At 41.4% G+C, this 24,429-nt stretch overlaps 1 protein-coding gene across 4 annotated transcripts in view, besides 5 other annotated features; it reads right to left on the bottom strand.

Moving 5' to 3' along the window:
• ACSL3 (acyl-CoA synthetase long chain family member 3) overlaps nt 1-19,951 on the bottom strand; it is an 83,604-nt gene extending 63,653 nt beyond the window's left edge. For all 4 annotated transcript variants that reach the window (NM_004457.5, NM_203372.3, NM_001354158.2 and 1 more), the window contains exon 1: nt 19,729-19,951. The gene's annotated coding sequence lies outside the window, so the exon portion shown is untranslated. The remainder of the gene's footprint in view (nt 1-19,728) is intronic.
• Nucleotides 14,214-14,715: an enhancer, noted in NCBI's record as "NANOG hESC enhancer chr2:223730990-223731491 (GRCh37/hg19 assembly coordinates)". NCBI's record gives its function as "activates a minimal SCP1, AML or CMV promoter by ChIP-STARR-seq in primed H9 embryonic stem cells {active_cell/tissue: H9 hESC(primed)}" and the evidence as "EXISTENCE:reporter gene assay evidence [ECO:0000049][PMID:30033119]".
• Nucleotides 19,456-19,825: a silencer, noted in NCBI's record as "silent region_12374". NCBI's record gives its function as "represses an Ori minimal core promoter by ATAC-STARR-seq in GM12878 lymphoblastoid cells {active_cell/tissue: GM12878}" and the evidence as "EXISTENCE:reporter gene assay evidence [ECO:0000049][PMID:35858748]".
• Nucleotides 19,896-20,225: a silencer, noted in NCBI's record as "silent region_12373". NCBI's record gives its function as "represses an Ori minimal core promoter by ATAC-STARR-seq in GM12878 lymphoblastoid cells {active_cell/tissue: GM12878}" and the evidence as "EXISTENCE:reporter gene assay evidence [ECO:0000049][PMID:35858748]".
• Nucleotides 19,896-20,236: a biological region, named in NCBI's record as "Sharpr-MPRA regulatory region 9896".
• Nucleotides 19,942-20,236: an enhancer, noted in NCBI's record as "tiled region #9896; HepG2 Activating DNase matched - State 1:Tss, and K562 Activating DNase unmatched - State 1:Tss". NCBI's record gives its function as "activates a minimal TATA promoter and a strong SV40 promoter by Sharpr-MPRA in HepG2 and K562 cells {active_cell/tissue: HepG2 | K562}" and the evidence as "EXISTENCE:reporter gene assay evidence [ECO:0000049][PMID:27701403]".

The following is a 24,429-nucleotide window of genomic DNA, read 5'->3' as shown; positions in this document are numbered from 1 at the left end:
AGAATCATTATTGTGTGCAGATAAGTGCCTGCCTGACAAGAAAATCTGAAGGAATCATTTGAAAAATATCCAACCAGAGGGAGAATTCACAAAAATACTTCGATACCAAGTAAATAATAAAAATAGACAGGTTTTTTTTTGTTTTTTTTTTTTTTGGGAGACAGAGTCTCGCTCTGTCACCCAGGCTGGAGTGCAGTGGCGTGAACTCTGCTCACTGTAAGCTCCGCCTCCCGGGTTCACGCCATTCTCCTGTCTCAGCCTCCTGAGTAGCTGGGACTCCAGGCACCCACCACCACGCCTGGCTAATTTTTTTTTTATTTTTAGTAGAGACAGGGTTTCACCGTGTTAGCCAGGATGGTCTTGATCTCCTGATCTCGTGATCCGCCCACCTTGGCCTCCCAAAGTGCTGGGATTACAGGCATGAGCCACCGCGCCCGGCCAAAAATTGACAGTTTTTTTATATATTATTAATCACCAGTTAGAAATTGAAACGGAAATATAGTCACAATAGCAAACGCAAGTTTAAAATACTTCATGTAATATAACATTCATATTTACATATGGGTGTCTGTGTATGTAAAATGCTACTGATAGACACACACAAAAAAACCCTGAATATATGAAAAGACAGACTTGCTCCTGAGTAGAAAGGATAAATGTAATTCTGCCAAAATTAACCCATAAACCAAATGCAATCCCAATGAAAATCCTACTAGGATTTTTCTTACGTGTTTGTTTTGTATGCTTATGTGATATATTAATTCTAACATTTATCTAGAAGAAAAAACTTTGAGAAACAGCATATTTAATGCATATTTGCCCTATTCCATATCAAAACACGAATTGTTAATACAGAATTTTAAAACCAGAAATAGTCATGGGACTTTTGTATATGGCAATAGTGACATCACAGATCAGCAGGTAAAATCTTATTCAGTAAGTTGCACAGCATCAAAGAAAAATTTTAACAGAGGTAGTAGCTGAATTAAGTCCTGGAAAGATGAGAAGCAGATCCCTGAAGCAAACAACCAGCCTAGTAATACCTCTCTTCCACAGCTCCCATATTCCATAAATAGAAAAAAAAAAAAAAGGTTTATTATTGGTCTTTATTCTGATTCTGAAACAGTCTCCAGTGATGTCAACCCACAGTCCACATTGCCTGGCCTACGACTGTTGGGAAGGGAAGCACTGGCTCTGTTTCACATATGTGATACTGTTCTGTCCCCATCTCCAACACCGCAGACTACGGCAAATGTGTGCATCCACAGGTATCCAGCAGACCTGTGACCAGTGAAGCCTGTATCAAAAACATGAATGTGCTGGTCCAATCATACTCTTCTGTCCAAAACTTGGAATGGGGTATGGAATTGGAGAGAGACAGAAGCAGCTAAGAGGACTGTCAAAATAAACTCATCTTTCAAGATGCAGGATGAGTATAATTACCCACAGACAAAGCTGAATAAATCCCTCCAGGCTCTTATTCCTCCTTCACTCCTGCCTAACAGGGAGGCATGGGTGAGCATACAGTGAGTAATCACAAGTAGCCTGAGATCGCTGGAACACAGGAAATATATGGGGGGAGTTAGCAATGAAAATGTTGTAGATAGCATGAGATCGGTTTTCAAGTAAAGCATTTAACTAAATTTGTTTTTTATTTTATTTTATTTTTTTGAGACAGTCTCGCTCTGTCCCCCAGGCTGGAGTATAGTGGCACCATCTAGGCTCACTGCAATCTCCACCTCCTGGGTTCCAGCAATTCTCCTGCCTCAGCCTCCCACGTAGCTGGGATTACAAGCGCCCGCCACCATGCCCGGCTAATTTTGGTATTTTTTGTAGAGACAGGGTTTCACCCATGTTGACCAGGATAGTCTTGAACTCCTGACCTCAGGTGATCCACCCGCCTTGGCCTCCCAAAGTGTCGAAATTACAGGTGTGAGTCACTGTTCCCAGTCCTAAATGTGTGTTGTTGTTTTTTTTAAGAATGATTACTTGGGTCAACACAGAAAATAAACCGAAAGGGATTCCAGGTATGTGGTTATTACCACAGCCCAAGTGATGAAGTGCAGAATTTAAGGCAGTAGACACAGAAGAAACAGGACCAACTGTACAGGCTTCTCTGAGGTAAAATTAGTAGGACCTGTCAGGTAGGATGTATAGAGTAAGGGCTCTGAAAATTAAAGTCTACATTTCCAGAATGAAAGAATGGTGGCGTGTAACGAGGAATACAAGAAGAACAGACACAAATATGAGCGCATAAATATAGGGCTGGATGTTAAGTTTGTGGGAAAGACCAGAAGAGAGATTCACTATATTGTTAGAAATACAGGGCTGGGGCTCCAAACAGCTGAAGATGCAGAGGTCACAGTCATCATTGACTCTATTCATAGAACACAGAATTCCTCAGAAACAGTATATTCAATTGTAGGATAAAGGATTAAGGGCAGATGCCAGAAGAACCAACAAGAAAGGTAAAGGAACAGGAAACAGTGCCCTAGAAGCCAAAGACAAACACTTGTTGTCAGGAGTGTCAACAAGGCTGCAGAGAAGGCGATAAGCAGCAATGACATTAAAGTACAGCAAGCAGTGGGCCTGGCCTGAAACAATCCATCGCTTTCCTGCCTTCACAATCACATAATTTTTTAAATTACATTAGCATATATTACTCAACCAGTTAGTACATATTTACCAACAGAAAAGCTATTCTTCAGGAATTCCTGAGCTTCCATTAATAAGTATATACTGGTCATTCTGATATGAGATTTTTGGCCTTCCAAAAATTTTCTGGTAATATATTCAAATCTTTCAACTCAATTTAATAAATGCTTACTCAGTATCTCATGTCCATTACTGTGCTAGGTGGCAGGGATGCAGAGACTGATTCATTCATTCAACAAATGTGAGTGTCTCCTATACGCTGGGCACTGGGTGTGCAGCAGTGAATAAAGCACAGTATCTTTCTTTCTAGTGGAAGAATAAATTAAACTTACTCTCCCTGAAGGAGCTCAAAAGAAACACATTATGTTCTTGACTTATCTAAGAAAGACAGCAAATATAATTATTTCATAAAGCTATTTGAAATTAATAACAAGAAACAAAAACTGTGATCACCTATAATTAACATGCCTGTACTCTGGCATCATGTAATACAAAGAAATTTTATTAACTTAAATACACAGCTCCCAATTGTCTACGGGTAAATTATCCATGCATCAAGGGCAATTCCCAAATAGTGACTCACAATTCTGGGTAGTGTTCCATCCAAATTTCTAGCATGTAATCTAACACATGATGTAGTATATAATATATAGGCATTACATATGCCAGTTTTACACTATGTCCACCATTCTCCCCAGAAACATCAATGCAAAGAACAGAAACTGTTACATGCCTACAAAATCATTTCTGAACTAGGTATTTATAAAGGTATAAGTGTATATGTAGCCGTCACTGAGGTTAGTATCTAATAAAAACAACAAATGCCAATATAGATGTTTCTCACCAAAAAAGTAAATCTACGAATGTGCTATGCTTTTCATTCTCAATACCAAAGTTCAGATTTACATAAACAGGCCCTGAGTATTCAACTGATCCTGCCCTCATGGAACTTTCCATCTGGGCTATCATCTGCTCCACCTCTTCATTACAAGGAAAATCACAAAACTAACTTTTAAAAAACACCCTCTAAACAATCTAAGTACAAAACCATCTCTCAAGTACAAAACTCCAAAACTACTCTTAACCATAACCAGTCCTATTCCACCAACTCTTTCACTTCAATCCTTTGACCTCATCCAGAACTCCAATCCCCTTGAGCTCTCCACCATCTTTCTCAATCTATCAGGCCTCCCCCTGCCTGATCTCTACTGTTAATTGACTTATCCTGTAACACACCCTTTCAGTTCCCCAAGCATTCCCCATGTGTGTTCTTGTCCCATGCCTTTATGCTTGGTATGTCCCCTGGGTCCCATCTCCAATCCCCTCCTAACTCAGAAAAACTATGCTCTATCCAGAAGTAAAGGAATATAGATTTTCAATGAACTCTCTCCATCTATTTTTACCTCCATCGTTTATCTCCCCTCCTCCATCAAGGCTGGGTTAGATGTCCTTCCTATGAGCTTCCAAAACACTTCAGGCATACCATTAACGTAACTTATTACAACTGTATTTTAACTTTGCTTTTCTGTCTCCCCACAACAGACTGTGAGCTTCTTGAAGCAAGGACTTTTTTTTTTTCTCTGCTTTCCTAGAATCTAGCCGAGTATGTGATACATAGCGGGTATGAATAAATGTATACTTTTATAAATACTATTTTATATTCTATAATTTAAATAGGCATAAAGAAAATATTTTAAAGTCATAAAGTAGGACCAGGTATGGTTGCTCATGCCTGTAATCCCAACAGTTTGGGTAACTGAGGCAGGAGGAATGCCTGAGTCCAGGCGTTCAAGACCAGCCTGGACAAAATAGATCTAGTGTCTACAAAAAAAAATGTTTTTAATTGGCTGGCCATGGTGGCACACGCCTGTAGTCCCAGCTACTTGGGAGGCTGAGGTAGGAGGATCACTTGAGCTGGGGAAGTTGAGGCTGCAGTGAGCCATGATTGTGCCATGGCACTTCAGCCTAGGACTGAGATTCTGTCTCAAAAAAAAACAAAAAAACAAACAAACAACAACAACAAAAAAAACCATAAAGCAATAACTAGCTCTTGCTCAAACATCTGTTGAGAAAAGCTATCCCACATGAGGGTAGGGAATGGGTACCAGAATCAAAGCTGCTCCTATGATTTACAAATCACACACTATTGCTCCTTCCCCTGCTTATTAATCCCAATACTTTTATACTGGTGAAACAGTCCAAACTCTAGCTCAAATGTCACCTCTTTTATGAAGTCTTCTAATATCTACTTGCAGTCCTCTAAGAACCCAAAACACTTTGCACATACATCTACATTAGCACTTTTAACTATGGATTGTATGTTTACTGTTTTACTTTCTATCTACTTCAACGAGGTAAACACTCTAATGATGCATCTTTGAAATATGAATCCCAAGAAACCTACAAAGTATTACCTAGTATATGTTCAATAAATGTTGGCTGATTTTATGAATAAAATTTTAAAACAGGGAAAAACAAAAAGAAACATCATCAAAAAAAACCCAGCAATAAGCTAAGGAATTATGTCTGTGCTTATGACACTGAACTGGACAACCCAAAAGGGGAGGGGAGGAGGGGTAGAAACTCTGGTCAATATCAGCTCATTCAACAACCCGTCAAGCAGCAATCAGTAAGGCCATCTAGGTTCATAGATGTGATCATTTCTGCGCTATAACGTCATGCAATTAAAGAGGAAAGAAGCCTCACCAATAAGTCATCTTCCATAGGCACTTCTTTCTAAAATTGCCATATGAAAGTTAATACCAATAAGGTCAAATTTACAGAAATTATTCCTATTCTTTTCCAGGAACCAAAAGGAATACAGAATGGGATATAAATCAATCAGTGAAAAGCCAAACCAATGAATTTTTTTATTTCATTGAATAAAAATCAAGATTTCAACTGGCACTACACAGATCAACTCATTATTATCCTGATCTGAATCATGACGAATAGATATGAGATTCCTCCCTCCAACCCACCACTCCAAAGGTTTTTATTCAAAAACAAAAATCCCATTCCTTCCGTCCCCAATCTTCTTGATTTTATCAGTGATAAGATCAGTGATAAAGTTTTATCAGTGATAAAAACTTTGAGAGACACTGTATTATATGAGCTAATCTTCAGAGAGCTGGAAGGAGACATTTTTAAAGTAACAATAACAATAGGTACATTTACTGAGCATTTAATACGTGCCAGGCACTGTTCTGATCACTTTGTATATATTATCCTTAACATTAGCAGGTTATACACAACGCAAAAAAAAGTAAATCAAAAGCTAAATTTTTACAATTATTCCTAACTTCACCTCTCCATTCAAATTTTCACATAAATGAAGATTTTTAATTCTTCAATTCTATTTTTACTTTTATATCTTTTTTTTTTGTTGGTAGAGACGGGTTATCACTATGTTGCCCAGGCTGTCTCAAAACTCCTGGCCTCAAGCAATCCTCCCATCTCTGCCTCCTGAGTACTGGGATTACAGTAGTGAGCCAATGTAATTTAAAAACTGTAAATCTATAAAATTTCTATTCTTTCTCCAAATCCTTCAGCAGGATATATCCAATAAGCAAAATTATTGCTTTTTATTTAAATCAGGTCTAGATTAAGACTGGTTTAACTAAAATAAATACTCGGGTTGCTAATTTTTTTTTTTTTCAGACAGGGTCTCTTGCTCTGTCACATGTTGGAGTGCAGTGGCTTGATCACAGTTTTCACTGCAGCCTTGAACTCCCAGGCTCAAATAATCCTCCCAAGCAGCCGGAACCACAGCACCCAACTCAGTTAGTATTTTTTATTATTTTTATAGAGACCAAGTCTCCCTATACTGCCCAGGCTGGTCTCAAACTCCTGGGTGCAAGTGATCCTTCCTCCTCAGCCTCCCGAAGTCCTGGGATTATAGACGTTAGCCACTGTGCCCAGCCAAGAAATTTTTTTAATTATACAAAATATTATTCATATGAAACAACATCTCTCTTCTGGTTTTCAATATATAAATGGAAGTACAAGGCCGGGCACAGTGGCCCACGCCTGTAATCCCAGCACCTTGGGAGACCGAGGCAGACGGATCACCTGAGGTCAGGAGTTCAAGACCAGTCTGGCCAACATAGTGAAGCCTGGTCTCTACTAAAAATACAAAAAAATGAGCCGGGTGTGGTGGTGCGCACCTGTAATCCCAGCTACTCGGGAGGCTGAGGCATTGAGAATCACCTGAATCCGGGAGATGGAGGTTGCAGTGAGCCAAGATCACGTCACTGCACTCCAGCCTGGGTGACAGAGTGAGACTCCGTCTCAAAAAAAAATAAAAATAAAAAAATAAATCCAAGTACAGGTGCAATGGAAAGACACACTCAAACTAAAGGGCACAGATATATAAGTACAACCTCTCTGGGAAGCAATTGTAATTTTTATTAAGAGCCTTTAAATTTTTCATACCTTTTGACCAAACAATTCCACTTCTGTGAATATTTAATGAAGAAAAACAAATTTACTTGAGAACTTCCATTTGCTATTTATAATAATGGGTAATGAAAATATGCAAATCTAATAATTGGGAAATGGTAAAGTACATTATGTACATATAGTAGATTATTATACAACCACTAAAAATATTTTCAAAAACATTCAATAACATGGGAATTGCTCATGATATGATAAATGAGAAGTAGGTTAAATATTTACACACAATATATTTCCACTTTTGTTAACATACACACAAACAGGTATCAGGACCGAAAGCACCTCAGCACTGGCTATATCTAGAATGTAGAATTTATGCTTTTACGTATTTTCCAAACTTTCTCATCAAACACACATTCTTAGAAGAAAAACTTAAAGCAAATATATAAATTCATTATAATTTCTACAAATTTATATAGCAACAGTATTGACATGCCTGAAACACTAGGTCAATTTATGATCTTTTAAACAAGAAATTGAATAGTAAACTTAGAGAAGACACTAAAAATATTTCTGTTCAAAACATACAACTCTATGGAATTATGAAATAATATCCAATCTAGCTGAAAAGTTTCCCATTGGCCTTAATAGGCGAACAATACCAAAATCAACATAATATATGGTCAGGTATATTGTTATATATATTTATAGATGTTTTAATACTGCTGAAGATAATTTTGGTAAACTGTAACATTGCTAATCATAAAATTCAAATCATAAAAAGTTAACTGTTTGCAAATTTTGTAATAATAAAATTTAAACTTTTTGTAGTAACTGAGGACCAAAGAAGCATACTGACTTGATACAGATATTGCTAACTAGTTGGCACAGTCAAGCCTCCAAGTTCCCTCATCTTCCCAGTCTACTCTCAATGGATTGCTTCTAAGAGACGGCTTTATTTTTATTTCTGTCTCATGCATGCTGTGGCCCATTTATTTTTGCATCCAGCTTCATCTCAGAAGACCTCTGCACAAACTCCTGCCCTTCTTGTGGATTTTCCCCAAAGCCAAGTCACCATCCCACCCCACCCCACATTGCTTCAAGCCTCTGCCTAGAAAGCGGCCCAGTTGCCCCACCACCACACCGCCCCACTACCATCCCCCTTCTCCTAGATCAGTTGGATGCCACTTCCTCAGAGAAGCCTCTCAAGACAGCCTACTCTGGTTCCCCACCCTCGGCACCCCACAACTTTGCCTTCACAGGACCTACTGCAACTGTAATTAAATAATTACTGTGGAACTGCTTAATGTTCACCTTCCCACTCTATGCACCAGGGAAGGGCCGTATTTGTCTTATTCATCATTCTATCCTTGGTGTCCACTAGCAAAGTACCTGGTGGGAGCATCCATCACACCGATAGACAAACAGATGGATGGATGACAGATGTTAAGAATAATAATTTATTTAAATTTTCCTAAGATACTTTTACTTTCTTTCTATAAAAAATATGTAACTGTCGGCCAGGAGCACCTGTAATCCCAGCAGTTTGGAAGACCGAGGCAGGAGGATCACCTGAGGTCAGGAGTTCAAGACCAGCCTGGCCAACATGGTAAAACCCTGTCTCTACTAAAAATACAAAAAATTAGCCGGGCGTGGTGGTGGGCACCTGTAATCCCAGCTACTCGAGAGGCTGAGGCAGGAGAATCACTTGAACCCAGGAGACGGAGATTGCAGTGAGCCAAGATCGTGCCACTGCACTCCAGCCTGAGCAACAAGAGCGAAACTCCGTCTCAAAATAAAACAAAAAATTAATTGTCTTAGTACTATTATCTATTTTATAACCTTAGGCACACCTGTATTCTAAATTATGAACTTTTCCCTGTTGAGCATTTGCCCTACTTAAGTTTTTCCCTAGAATTATACATCTTTTTTACGGTGACTATTATGTTCACCAAAAACAAGGGAGTCGGGGGTGGGGGGGAATGCCACAAGAGCAGTAATGCCACAGATAAAGCAGAGAAGCAAAAATAATAATAATAACATTCACATCTGTGGTCCCAAAGCAACAAGACTCCTATCATTAGAAAACTAATTCAAGCCTTAAAAATTAACAGAATGAGAATAGGCTGTTAGTAACCCCACAACCCCTCACCCACTAGACCTGCTCTCCCACTCCATCTTGGCCACCAACTCCCTTGTGTCTTCTCTTGTCCCCTGAAAGCCTAGTCCCAGGAACCAATGTTTCTGTGACAACCATGTCCTTCCTGGAGGACTCCCGAGCACTTGCTATCCTAGAGCTCTAAAACACAACCGCTCCCTGCAGATTCACTGCATTTTCTTCACTCCTACTCACAAGGCTGCCAGCTGGAGAGTTATACAGCCAGGACCAATGCCACATGTTTGTGAGACCCAGCCTTAGCTGAGGCCTCCCTAGACAATGCCTACTGGGCCCCTAGTGATAAGCACTTTACACATCTTTCACTGACTTCTCACCTCATTCTATAAACATCTAAGCCCAGAACTTTGTTCACTTTCCGCCACTCCCTGATCTCACCATCGCCTACCCAGATGACCCCTCATCTGGCTTTCTTTGAGGAGATCCCAGCTATCCCACTTCGCATTTTTAAAAATAAATTTTTTTAACTGAATTCTCCTTTCCACATCTTCTACTGTCACTCTGCTTTCACCTTTCCCAACTCAAATGGAAAGCTGACTCTTCCCATTTCTAGAACTTACTCAAAACTTAAAAAGCATTTGGTAATGTTCCCTTCCCTTGCCCTGCAAAGATCCAGTCAGTTGCCAAGTCCCGATGGTTCTGCTTCCTCTGTCATCCCCTGCCTCCTGCCCTTTCTCACGTGTTACTTTATCAGTTCAGGTCCTTACTCCTGTCACCTGGCAGAATTCAACTGTATCCTTAACTATTCCTCTGTCTCTAGTCCCCTCTCCCCCTCCTCCATCAATGCATCCTTCATTCATGTTGCCAGTGTGACGTTGCCACTCCCTTATAACCCGTATTTCACATCAATCCTCTCTTCAAGAATCTCAATTCCCTCCTCATTGTCCAAAAGGGGAAAAAAAAGAAGGAATAAAAAACAATTCCAAACTCGTCTGCCAAGTACTTAAGACTCTCCACAACTTGAAGTCAGCTTACTTTTCAACTCTCACCTTCCAACTCTCTACTTCGCACACTACAAACAAATCAATTCCATCCACTTCTTTGTCTCCCTTACCTGTCTTCTCTGCCTTTGCTCATTTTGCCCTGTTAGCTCTACCTGGAATGTCCTTTATTCTTCTGCATACATTCAAAGCCTAGTTATCTCTTAGCATCTAAATTGATTAGGCATTCTCTGATACCCAAACCTCCACTGGCCCTAGCCCCAGCCTGAACTTCTCTACCCATCCGCTGACCCCTTAGGGCACTCTCTCATGGCACTCATTTTCTTTTGTAATTATTTGTTAAACAATTGTACATCTCAATATAGAATGCAGAGAAACAGTTCTGCCTCATCTTTCACTCCATCTATTTACTGCCCACTGCCTCTGAGATGGTTTCCATGAGAATCTTGCTTATTGAGATGTCAAAAGAGGAAGAGACTCATGCAAACACCCCATTAAATTCCAGGTAGTAAACACATCAATGAATACATGGGGAAATGCACAAAGCTAACTGATAAAGTCAAAGACACCTAAGAAATAAATATGGCACAGGTAACAAAAATCCTGAGTCAAGTAAAGGAGGGGGAAAAGGAGGTAAAAAGAACAGTGATGAAGCAGATCCCTCTCCATCCCCCAAAAGCAAGAAAGGATTACAGACCAAAAAAAAAAAAAAACCAGAAGTCCAGTCAGACTAAATGGCACAGACAATGCCACACCACCAGTCTCAACGGCAGGGTTACAAACAACTCGGGCCAGACCTTCAAAGCTCCTCCTGCAACAACTCAGAGCCACTCAATTCTCTCCATTTGCTAGCTGCTAGTTCTCCCTTTCTATTCCTAGAAGGTTTAATTCATTCAACAACTACTTTCAGAGTTTAATCAATAAATAAAGAGGTTACGCTAGGTCTTAATTGCTTTTGTCCTCCAAGTCCATGTGCCTTTCTTCCCCATGGGATGTGATTTATCCTCACAGCTTCCTGAGTCCTCCCAAGCAGTTGATGGCTCAGTTTTATTTGCCAATCTTCCAAACTCCACTGCCCACTGGACATCCTATGTGAATACCTTCCTCACAAATCTTTCTTCAAATCTAACATTAGTCTCATTTTGCTCAGCTGACCATTCCCTGGCTACTGTGGCAAAACATGACCTCTCTGTCCTTTATACTGCTCATTTAACATTTACAGCATCTCCTCTGTAACTTCATATGGCCTAAATCCTCTTGTCCTTACAGAATTAACATTTCCTAGTCCCCTTTAAATAATGTGTATTTTTATTAATATAATGGGTTCACTCACACACTGGTTCAGAATGTCTTGTTACCATTTACCAAAAAACTACTTGTGAAGGGCAGAGAAGGGATAAAGAGGAAGAAAGAATATACATAGGGAAAACAGAAAAAAAGGAAGTTACAAGAGAAGACAGGGGAGCCAGAGAGATGAAGGAAGCAACTAACATAAGTCATGATAACCTTGTGAGGTAAGAATTGAAATCTTTATGTTACAGAAATTGAAATGGAAGGCTGAGAAAGGTTAAGTCACTCGCTCAAATTTACCTATGAAGCTTTACATACATGGATGGCAATGGTTCCTTCTCCACTGAACAACACAAGGTTGATGACATAGGATAATATACTTAGAAACACCATCTGAATCATTATCAGGGTCATATTACAAAAGGTATTTAAAACTAACAAGAGTAGACCCTTGGTAATTATCTGAGAATTTCACCATGTCAACTCACTTTCAAAGTGCTTTATACGTATTTCAAAAAAATTGAAACACGATAAATCCTAATTTTTTTTTTTTTTTTGAGACAGCGTCTCCCTCTGTTGCCCAGGCTGGAGTGCAATGGCATGATCTTGGCTCACTGCAACCTCCACTTCCCAGGTTCAAGCAATTCTCCTGTCTCAGCCTCCCAAGTAGCTGGGATTACAGGCACCCGCTACCACACCCAGCTAATTTGTATTTTTAGTAGAGACGGGATTTCACCACATTGGCCAGGCTGGACTCATGCCACATTGGCCAGGCTGGACTCAAACTCCTGACCTCAGGTGATCCGCCCTCCTCGGCCTCCCAAAGTGCTGGGATTAAAGGCATAAGCCACCATGCCCAACCAAATCCTAAATTATTGATATTAAAATATAACAATCTAGTTAATGTACCTCAACTTATGGTTTGCTACAGTTTACAGTATCTCTTCCCAATCTCCACTAACAGTTATAAAACATCACACATTTCCTTGAGGCATAGATGTCTGTGTTAAAATGCTGCTTCAAAAAAGAAGGCAACACCACAAACTGAGTAGGCTTAGAAAATACTGCATACTCTAACAAAAAATAAAACTAATAAAAATAGCTAATATGTATTGAGTAATGACTATGCCAGACACCTCATTTGAATCTCACAACAATCTACGGGTAGATTTCTATTATCTCCATTTTACAGATGAAGAAATTGAGACATAGAAATTAAATACGCTGCCCAAAGACACACAGCTAAAAAGTAGAGCCCGGATTCCAATCCAAGCAATCTTAACTCTGAGCTCATGTTCCTACCCACCAAACTGCAATGAAAAAAGTGCACTACATTTAGAGGAAAATATTTAAAGGAAACAAACACTAAAATACAGAATTAGCTAAATCAAATGTACATCAACACAGAAACGTTTCCCAAGAGAAAGGGTACACGTGAATTATCCCTGCAGTCATGCATGGAATTACAAGTAAAATAATATATATCTGTAAAATATGTTCAAGATATTTCTATATTTTAAGATATTTTTATTTAAAAAAAAAAAAAGCAAAGAAAGTTAACTAAAGTAAAGATTACTAAAAAGAGCCTTCGAGGAAAAGTGCCCATTACAGTTTTGTACTGTTAAGTATAATGGACAAAGAATGGTACCTTAGCTCAAATAATGAAACGATTAGAGGAAGGCCGAGACAAAAATGTGAAGAACAGAGAAAAAGGAGCACAGGTTAACTACAGTGTCAAAAATTAAAACAAAGACTTGTGTTCAATAATACTTAACGGTAATAATGTTTGTAATAACAAAAAAAATGGAAACAGCCTAAAAGTCTATCAAGAGAGCAAAGGGGAAATAAATATGGTATAGACCTAAAATGTACTAACTTGTCACAGTAAAAATAAATGACCTAAATCTACATGAACCCACACTGATGAATTGAGTTGAAACTCAATTCATGAAACCACACTGCTAAGTGATTTTGAGTGGGGATAAAATAAACAGTATGCTGAACAAGAATACATGCAGTACCATCTATATAAAGTTTAAGAATACACAAAACAATACTATACACTGTCTAAGGAAACACACATGTGTAATAAAGCTGTACAGAAATACATAGGAATAATAAACACCAAATTCAGAGCAGTGGTTAGCTGTAAGATTTGGGGGAAAGGAGTGGGTTTCTTTAAGTGGATTAAATTTTATGAAATATTTTTCAAACATACAGAAAGTGCGTCAATATTTTAGTTAAAAGACAGGAAAAGAAAATGGAATTAGCAGACTATGGGATCCCAAATTCCTTTATATTCCAATCTAAAAAGTCAATAACAATTCCTGCGAAGTAAGGTTAAAGGGGAAAGCATCCTGAGGAATTATGTTCAAGTCCAAAAAGAAAATTCTAGGCCGGGCATGGTGGTTCACATCTGCAATCCCAGTACTTTGGGAGGCTGAGATGGGCAGATCACGAGGTCAGGAGTTAGAGACCAGCCTGGCCAACATGGTGAAACCCCATCTCTACCAAAAATACAAAAATTAGCCGAGTGTGGTGGTGGGTACTTGTAATTCCAGCTCCTCGGGAGGCTGCGGCAGGAGAATTGCTTGAACCCGGGAGGCGGAGGTTGCAGTGAGCAGAGATCACACCACTGCACTCCAGCATAGGTGACAGAGCAAGACTCTGTCTCAAAAAAAAAAAAGAAAAAGAAAAAAAAGAAAATTCTAGTTAAATTCTCTCAATTTCCTTATGATTTCCCCGGGGCGGGGGGGGGGGGGGGGGGGGGGGGCGGGGGGGGCAGGGCAGTTTTATTTGGGGCAGCAACTTTGTGTAATTAAAACAGACATAAAACTGCCCCTAAATGTCATCACAGCTCCTTTCCCTACACAATCATGCCTTCAAAGGTTAACATGAACTTCAAACTGTCACTCCAGAGAGGAGATGCAGCGCCCAGGTTAAGAACAGGGACTCTGGAACCAAAGTGCCTGGGATGAAATCCAGCACACATTTAGCACACAATCGTGCAAGTCACTTAAATTGCTCTGTGCTTCAGTTTCCTCAGCTGTAAAAATTAGAATGATAAAAGAACCTATTTTGCAGTCAGCGCAGTAGCTCCCAGCCTGTAATCCCAGTACTTTGGGAGGGCGAGGCGGGCGGATCACAAGGTCAGAAGATCAAGACCATCCTGACTAACATGGTGAAACCCCATCTCTACCGAAAATACAAAAAATTAGCCGGGCATGGTGGTGGGCACCTGTAGTCCCAGCTACTCAGGAGGCTGAGGCAGGAGAATGGCGTGAACCCGGGAAGCGGAGCTTACAGTGAGCCGAGATCATGCCACTGCACTCCAGCCAGGGGGACAGAGCGAGACTCCGTCTCAAAAAAAAAAAAGTACCTATTTTGCAAGGCTGAGATAAAAATTAGAACAGCATTTGGCCACAGTATACTATAAAGGTGTTGGCTATTATCCTTATTCCAAAGACCATTCATTTAGAAAAACAAAAACTAGGCTTTGTATCCAAATAATATAATTAAGTTCAGTTACTTTCTGCATCAAATAGGAGACAGAAAAGTTGACCATGACAGGACAGGGGAAAATGTGCAGCTTTTCACAGCTAGAGCAATCAACATGAGGATAGTAAGATAAGCAATTTTTAATTTTTCTAACAATATTCTTTGGTAGCGTTATAACATCTCCAATGCGTACACATCTGTGTACACACACACACACACACACACACACACACAGAGGATCCAAAATCAAGGTAAAACATTCTATTTCCTGGCTCCCTGTTGACCTGGGAAAACTCCAGTTCATCTTGGAAAACCTAGTTCAGCTATCATCTCCACTGAGAAGTCTCCCCTTTTCCTTCCCTACTCTGTGCCTGCTCTGCACTTTTTCTCTATTTCCTAGCAGATTCCACTGCTGCACTGATTATACCATCCTGTAATATATTTGCTCATATACCTTCTTCTGTTCCACCATGCTGTAATTTGTTCATACACCTCTTTCCTGTGGTGAACTGTGAGCTCCTTAAGAGCAGGAACTCGCCCAATCATTTCCAAATTCCGAGTACCTTGCAAAACAGACACTAAGTAAATACATGAATGAATGAATCCTTAATAACAAATACCTTCACAAACAAGCAGAAAGCTGTATTTGGAGGCCACTTATCCAAAAGGTTGGTTATTTAAGTATCTTCAATTCTAAACAAAAATTAGCAGATCAGTTGAAACTACTGAATCATCCAATTCTTTACCCTTCAAAATGGGAAACATCAAAAATACGTAAATAAACATATTCCAATAATAACAGAAGCTAAACTTTAAATTAAAAGAATTAAGGCACCTATGATGTCAGGAAAACAGAAACCGTCTGAAAGCTTTTTTCTAATGAAACCAAAAATAAACATGTAAGGAAGGCACCACAGGATTTAACATTTACAATGTCTCCTTTTTCAGAAAATAAATAAATTACAATCAAAAGTCAGATGAAAATATATACTCTATTGAGGGATGAAATTAAGACTGAGCCACATTTTAAATCAATCACACAATGCTCTTGCAACAAAGTTTTCTAAAAGACTGTCATGAGTCAACTAAAATTGGGCTAATTTTTAGAAATTTAACAGTTCTTGACAATTTTTGGCATTTGCTTAGTACTCCATAGGTTACAGGCCTGTATTCTGTTACTGTGGAAGGTGTCCCCTCCTCCCAGCAAAGACACAGGCCTCAGTTGTACTTTGGGTCCCATCCCAACCCCATCCTTTTAGGAACTCTGCACAAACCCTTTTCTAGTCTATATTCAACCACTCCCTCTCCACTGAGCCTTCCCATCAGCATTTAAACATGCTGAAATCAAACCTATTGGAAACAGTTTCTGTCTCCGTTTTCCTCACCTCCCACTGCTCCCCATCCCACCCCTACCTGCAGATCAGCATCTCTTTCAAAGGTCACCAGTGACCTCCATGTTGCTAAATTCAATGATGGTTCTCAATTCTTCTCTCATAGGAGCATTCCACAGTACTGACTCATCGCCTTGCAGGAACATCTGTTTCTGGCTGTCCTCTGACCTTCCTGGCCACTCTTGTCTCCTTGACAAGCTCAACCTCCTCTGCCCAGCTCCATCCCAGGCCTCCTTCTCTTCTTATTCTATAGCCTCCCCACAGGCAATCTCACCCATACCCATGGTTTGAGCTCTTGCCTCTACATGGAGGTCTTCAAAACGGTAAATGGCCACCCCAATTCTCAGCACAAAACCAGTACCTCAATAAAGGCCTCAAAGGCAGCTCCAGCTGAACACTTCCAAAACTAAAGTCATGCCCTTCCCATATCCAGAACCTAGTTCTCTACCAGTTAAGCCCCAGCTCAGTGAATAGCACACATACCTCTTTAGTTGCATAGGTCTGAAACCTAGTAATCACTTAGCACCTCTTTCTCCCACTCCATTTACTATTTATCACCATATCCTGACAATTTTTTATCTCCATTTTCTCAGTATTTCTGTTTATCATATATGGCTCTTAAAAGGATCAGATGAGATATGCTAGCACTTTGAAAAAAAAAAACCTTAAATTTGAGTATTAGTATACATTAACTGAAATCTCTTTGAAAGCAGTAACTTTGGCAAGTTCATCTTTTTTATTTATGCCACATGGTACCCCTAGGACGGTGTTTTGCATGCAGATGGCCATTAAGTAAATATATTGCAATGTATTATTTGAATTGGCTTCATACATGTTCAACTGAGACATTTATATATTTTTAACAATCTATATTTCCCAATCCAGCCATCAAAAAATGATCTCCTAAGATGATGAGACTTTTAAGTTAAATGACCCTGTGAAGCGTATGCTACAATGGATACTTTTGAGTCATTATGATGCTCGTTGTTTTAAAAGCCTATCACCCTTGGCCTAGCTTTCCTAAAAAAAATCTAAATCCAATATTCAAGCCCAAATCTCACATAAAAGAGTCTTACTCCCCCTTACAGTTCATTTTGAGTGGGAGAAAGTATTAGAGGACTATTTAAGCTTTAAGTACCCTGAAGGCAGACAGAATGACAACTTGTAAAGTTGCCTATCTCATTTTCGTATCTTGCAATGAGAGCCGGGATGACATTCTGAGTATGAAATACACTGTGCAATGAAAAGAATTATTGTTGCTGACAACTTCCCAAACTCTTGCATTATGTACATAATTGCAGGCTCAGATTTCAAGACTGTCCTCTAGCAAAATCTCACCACATCAATTCAAAAAACAGCTCCCTAGACTAGATTTCCATCTACATCACAATCTTGCTCATAATCCTCATTCACACAATACTTTTCCTTCATCGTACCTATCAAACTTGCAACCACCTATCCGTTTGTATGACCATTTGCTTCTTGTCTATTTTTCCCTCTATTCACAGCTGTATTCCCAGCACCTAATAAGGTGCCTGACATATCACAAAAATTAAATGGCTCTAGGTGAGTCAATTAATCAAATGAGGAATGAAACAGTCACTTAACTGGAACCAAACAGCAGGGAAACACAAAAGCAAATGAAACAGACCTCGAGGCTTTAAGATCTGATTCTCACCCCAAACCAGACAGAGGATGATTTTCCCCTTATAATTTGTGCGTTCTTCATTTCTCCCATTCTTCCTTTCTTCCTTCAAGGAGAACATTTTAGACCCTCAGAATATTTAAGCTTTAAGTCACTGAGTCTAAAGCCTTACAAATTCAGTAACTGAGATCCAAAGATACGAGGTGACTTGTCACCTTGACCCTTAGGTCCAATGGACCACTCTGCCCCACACCCAATGTCATCCTACAAAACCAATATTTTTATACAAAAGAGAAACCAGGAAAAGTCTAGAGAGAAAACGCATGCGACAATTAGAAGGCTTACTCATCCCCAAGTGTGAGGAACTGCCCAGAAAAATGCCAGAAAACAAAATCAAGTCTGTGCAAAAGATTCCCATGTCACACCACCTGTCCCCTATAATACCCTTCTAATACACTTTCAGGAGCAACTCATCAGCACCCTTAACTCTCAGAACTAATTTGGGGAAACAAAATAGGTTGATAAACATGAAAGAAGGTATCATCAAACTACAACTCTCCTGGCCACCCAGACTAAAATCCACTGTGGAAACTATTCAGCCAGCCACCAAGGAGAGGCAGCAAAATATAGTGCTTAGATTTCAGAGCTCTGGATTTACACAGGCCTGTCTGAATCCCAGCTTCTTACTAGCTGAGATCTGAGGCAAGCTAAGTCGTCCAATCTGCAGTTTCTCCCGCTGTAAAATGGGAATAACCCCCACCCCAGAGGACTGTTAACAGTGTGAAGACACTGTACATAAAGCTCTCCAAACAGTGCGTGGCATGTAATAAAAGCTCAATAAATGTCAGCTATTTGTCATTCTTTTCAGCTATAATTTCGTTCACAAAGCCTACTGCCTTTCTAGCTTCCATATAATTTTAAAGACATTCCTCCAGCCTTTTCATTTTCGAGGGATCTTTTATACAGCAGCTTAGAGCACACTTTCTAGTATCAGACTTCCTGCGAAAACCATTTGAAAACCTGTGCCTCGGGCTCCTCATCTGTGAAACGAGCCTGATAACACCTACCCCACAGGACTGCTGGTAGTAAGCAGTCCCCGAGTTACCCAACCTATCAACAGTATATGATTAAAACGCACTTGGGGAAAAGCAAAGCTGCAACTCTCAAACCCCAAACGACAGTCTTAATCCCAGTCCCACCACCACGATAGTGCCCAGAACCAATCACCAAGGTCGACCCACCTCACGCACCTAGTTTCTTCTCACCCCACGCAGCAACAGCCCCTCCCGCCCCGCCAAACAAGGGTTTTCCGAAATCGCAGGGCTGAGTCTCCTTCCACGGACACCGCACTGCTGGGGCCGCGGCAGAGCCCTCTTAATTCAAGGGGGTGGCCTCCCCACCCCGCCCCACAGCGCCGGGAGGCACGCAGTGCATCCTCCCTGCCTGGTCAGCGCCGCCCCACGCCGTTCGCGCTGCAGCTCCCGGCTCGCGTGGGCTCAGGGCCGAGGCCCCACGTCAGCCGCTTCCCGGACCCCAGCGGGCCGCCTCCCACCCTGCTCGCCGCTGCTCCTGGTGCCGCGGGCCGCCCGCGCGCACACCCAGCGGTCAGGTGCGGCGCCGACGACAGGGTCCCAGGCCCCGAGGCTGGGGAGCCCCTCGGGCCCAGCCGAACCGCACGCGGAGGCCGCGCCGCCAACCGGCTCCCGCCGCTCCCACAACCGGCGCCGCACTCACCGCTACGCCGGAGTCCGGGTTCCTCCGGCCTCGGGCCCGCGCAGGCCTGGCTGAGCCCCAGAGCGTTCACGCCCCGCGCCGCCGCCCGGGGATCCTGGCGCAGCTGTCGGGGCCGCAATGCGAGGGGACGAACGTATGCGACCCCGTCCAACGCCTCCTCGTCCCGGCCCCGGCCGCGTAGACAACTGCAGTGTCGCAGCCCGGCGCAGCCACAGCAGCGTCTGTTGAGCGGAACCGCCTGGGACGCTCACCCCCGGCCGGCACTCGTTGCCTATGCAGAGAGGCTGCCACCCATTGGCCCGCGAGCGGTGGCGCGTGCGGGGCTGGGCCTATCGAATTCGGGCCGGGGAGCGCGGCGCTGGCGGCCCGGGGCGGGGCGAGGTTACTACGGGTCATTCCGCGGAGCCGCCGCGGACCGGACCTGGCTGCAGTCTGCGCGGGGCGGGGGCGGGAACGGGGTCGACCAGGAGGGACGGACCGCGGGTGGGGGAGGGGAGCGGGGATCTGCGGCAGCGACGTGGGAGGAGCGGCTAGCCCAATAGGGTCTGCAGGAGCTCCGTCCCTCCAGGAAAAAACACCCCTCCACCAAAAAAAAAAAAAAAAAAATTACAGTCGCACAATTATTGCTGTAATGTATAAATTTCAATATAAATTATGAAATAGTATGCATATTCTTTTTCGTTTTTAACTGGATTAGTTATCCCGTTCTTGCAGAAATTGCTGTCAAATCCTGCCAAATAAAATGGCTTTTGGAACTGCCTGGGGCAAGAAGAGCCTCAAAAACTCAAAGCTTATCCATTATCATTTCTCTTGTTTTGGCCTCACTTGACCTAGCATATAACCCGTTTTCCTCTAAATGCACTCACCATGCAAATTTGCTATTTCTTTTCAAAAAATAAAGTTTACTCCAAATTATTGTTTTTGAACGTTCTTAGGAATCCACAGTGGTTCTGTATTTTAAGGAGTTTGCCATTGTTTCTCGTTTTAGACACTAAACAAGGATAAGAAAGAAAGCATCCAGTGCAGGTAGTAGAACTACATGTACTGTAAGAGAGAAGATTTTCACTCACCCAGTACTAGTAGGATTGGTCTCTTTTTTTAACCCAACATATTGTTTAGTTTGCCTGTGAACTTTTCCTTAAGTAGGTGAAAGGTTGCCTTCCTGAGCCAGCCTCAGGCTAAAGCAGGCCTCATTTCCCAAGAGAATCAAAATCAGGAAGCCGCCAGAACTTGAACTAGGTGGAGCGATGATGCACCAAGCAAAGAGAGCTCACTCACCGTGGGCCAAGGGCCAATCGAGAACCTAAAGGGATGGATACCTGACTCAGGCAAACTGTTCTCCCACTTCAAAATATGGCAGTTCAGTTGCTCATTAATCTGTTGAAATCTTATCAAAGGATACATCCTGAAGATAAATGGAATGCAGAATTTCTTATCTGAAAAGACATTCGCAGCTCTGCAGAGAGAAGCAGGCTTTAGAAGTAGTACTTCTAGAACCATGAAATCCTCTGGAAAATACTGGTTTTTTTCCGAGAGAAGAAAACTAATATTGCACCTTTTTATCTATCCATAAGCCTAAAACAGACTAGAAGAATTCCAACAATATCTTTCTTCATTATCTTTATATTATGGAATATATATTATGGATATGGACCTATATTTAAAAGAAAATGGTCCTGGGAATTAAAATTCTAAATTCTCATCTTGTTTGCTGTTTAACAAGCTAAGTAGAAATACATAGAGATACTTCAGAGACATTGTGGGTTTGGTTCCAGACCACTGACACTTAAAGGGAATATCAAAATTAAGTGAGTCACATGAATTGTTTGGTTTCCCAGTAAATATAAAAGTTATGTTCGCCGGGAGCGGTGGCTCACGCCTGTAATCCCAGCACTTTAGGAAGCCAAGGCAGGCGGATCACCTGAGGTCAGGAGTTCGAGACCAGCCTGACCAATATGATGAAACCCTGTCTCTACTAAAAATACAAAAATTAGCCAGGCGTGGTGGCATGCGCCTGTAATCCCAACTACTCGGGAGGCTGAGACAGGAGATCGCTTGAACCTGGGAGGCGAAGGTTGCAGTGAGCCGAGATCGTGCCATTGCACTCCAGCCTGGGCAACAAGAGTGAACTGCATCTCAAAAAAAAAAAAAAAGTTATGTTCATACTATAAAGCGTGCAATAGCATTATATTTAACAAAACAATGTACATATCTTAATTTAAAAATACTTTATTGCAAAAAAAATGCTGGCAATCACCTGAGTCTTCAGCAAGTTGTAATCTTTTTTGCTGGAGGAGGGTCTCACCTCAGGGTTGATGGCTGCTAACTGATCAAGGTGATGGTTGCTGAAGGTGGGGATGGCTGTAACAATTCCTTAAAATAGACAACAATGAAGTTTGCACCATAGGTTGACTCTTCCTTTCACAATTTCTCTGTAGCATGTAATGCTGCTTCATAGCATTTTGCCCACTGTTAAACTTCTTTCAGAATTGGAGTCAATTATCTCAAATCGCCGAGCGTGATGGCTCAAGCCTGTAATCCCAGCACTTTGGGAGGCCGAGGCAGGCAGATCACGAGGTCAGGAGTTCGAGACCAGCCTCGCCAACATAGTGAAACCCCATCTCTACTAAAACTACAAAAATTAGCTGGGCATAGTGGCACGCACCTGGAGTCCCAGCTACTCAGGAGGCTGAGGCAGAATCGCTTGAACCTGGGAGGCAGAGGTTGTAGTGAGCTGAGATCGCATCACTGCCCTCCAGCCTGGGCAACAGAGCGAGACTCCATCTCAAAAAAATAAAAAATAAAAAAATCCTCTCAAACCTTGCCACTGCTTTATCCACTAAGTTTATGTAATATTCTACATCCTTTCTTGATATTTTAACAGTGTTCACAGCATCTACACCAGGAAGAGATTCCATCTCCAAAGACCACTTTGTTTATCCATATGAAGCAACTCTTCATCCGTTCAAGTTTTATCATGAGACACAGCAATTCAGACATATCTTCAGTTTCCACTTCTAATTCTAGTTCTCTTGCTATTTCTAACATATCTGCAGGTATTTCCTCCACTGAAGTCTCAAACCCTTCAAAGTAAACCATGAGGGTTGGAATCAGCTTCTTCCAAACTCCTGTTATGTCAATATTTTTACATCCTCCCATGAATTGTGAATGTCCATAGTGGGATCTAGAATGGTGAATCCTTTCCATAAAGTTTTCAATTTACTTTGCCCAGGTCTATCAGAGGAATCACTATGGCAGCCACAGCCCCATGAAATTTCTTAAATGACTTGAAAATCAAAACTACTCCTTGATCCATGGGCTGCAGAATGAATGTTGTGTTAGCAGGCGTGAAAATAACATTAATCTCCTTGTACAGCTTCATCAGACTTCTTGAGTGACCAGGTGCATTGTCAATAGTAATAATATTTTGAAAGTAATCACGTCTTCTGAACAATACTCCCAAAAATGTGCTGAAACTGTTCAATAAACCATGCTGAAAACAGACGAGCTGTCATCTAGGCTTTGTTATTTCATTTATAGAGCACAAGCAGAGTAAATTTAGCGTAATTCTTAAGGGCCCTAGGATTTTCAGAATAGTAAATAAGCATTGGCTTCAACTTAAAATCACCAGCTGCAATAGCCAGTTACAAGAAAGTCAGCCTGTCCTTTGAAGCTTTGAAGCCATGCATTGACTTCTCCTCTCTACCTATGAAAGTCTTAGATGGCATCTTCTTGCAATATAAGATTGTTTTGTCTACCTGGAAAATCCGTTGTTCAGCATAGCCACCTTCATCAACAATCCCAGCTAGATCTTCCAGATAACTTGCTGCAGCTTCTGCATCAGCACTTGCTGCTTCATCTCGCACTTCTTTTATGTTATAGAGATGGCTTCTTTTCTTAAACCTCATGAACCGAACTCTGCTAGCATCAAACTTTTCTTCTGCAACTTCTTCATCTCTCTCAGCCTTCACAGAATCCAAGAGAGCTCCGCCTTGCTCTGGAATAAACTTCAGTTTAAGAGAATGTTATAGCTGGTTAGATCTTATACCCAGACCACTAAAAGTATCTCCATATCATCATTAAGGCTAATTAGCTTTCTTATGCATTCACTAGAGTAGCACTTTTAATTTTCCTCAAGAACTTTTCCTTTGCATACACACCTTGGCTAACGGCTCGGCACAAGAAGCCTAGCTTTCAGACTGTCTGGGCTTTTGAACATGCTTTCCTCACTAGGCATAATCATTTCTAGCTTTTGATTTAAAGTGAGAGACGTGTGACTCTTCCTTTCATTTGAACACCTAGAGGCCATTGTAGGGTTATTAACTGGCCTAATTTCAATATCCCTGTGTCTCAGGGGATAGGGAGGCCCAAGGAGAGGGAGAGGCTGGGGACTGGGGTTGGGATGTGATCTCAGCTCACTGCAATCTCTGCCTCCAGGGCTCAAGCGATTTTCCTGCCTCAGCCTCTGTGTAGCTGAGATTACAGGTGCACGCCACCACACCCAGGTAATTTTTGTATTTTTAGTAGAGACAGGGTTTCATCATGTTGGTCAGACTGGTCTCGAACTCCTGACCTCGTGATCCACCTGCCTCAGTCTCCCAAAGTGCTGGGATTACAGGTGTGAGCCACCGTGCCCGGCCAACTCTTCTTCTTCATAAATTACCCAGTCTTGGGTATATCTTTATTAGCAGTGTGAGAACA

The sequence above is a fragment of the Homo sapiens genome, chromosome 2 (assembly GCF_000001405.40).
Source record: "Homo sapiens chromosome 2, GRCh38.p14 Primary Assembly".
Taxonomy (NCBI): domain Eukaryota; kingdom Metazoa; phylum Chordata; class Mammalia; order Primates; family Hominidae; genus Homo; species Homo sapiens.
This window is presented reverse-complemented; position numbering and strand designations above follow the sequence as displayed.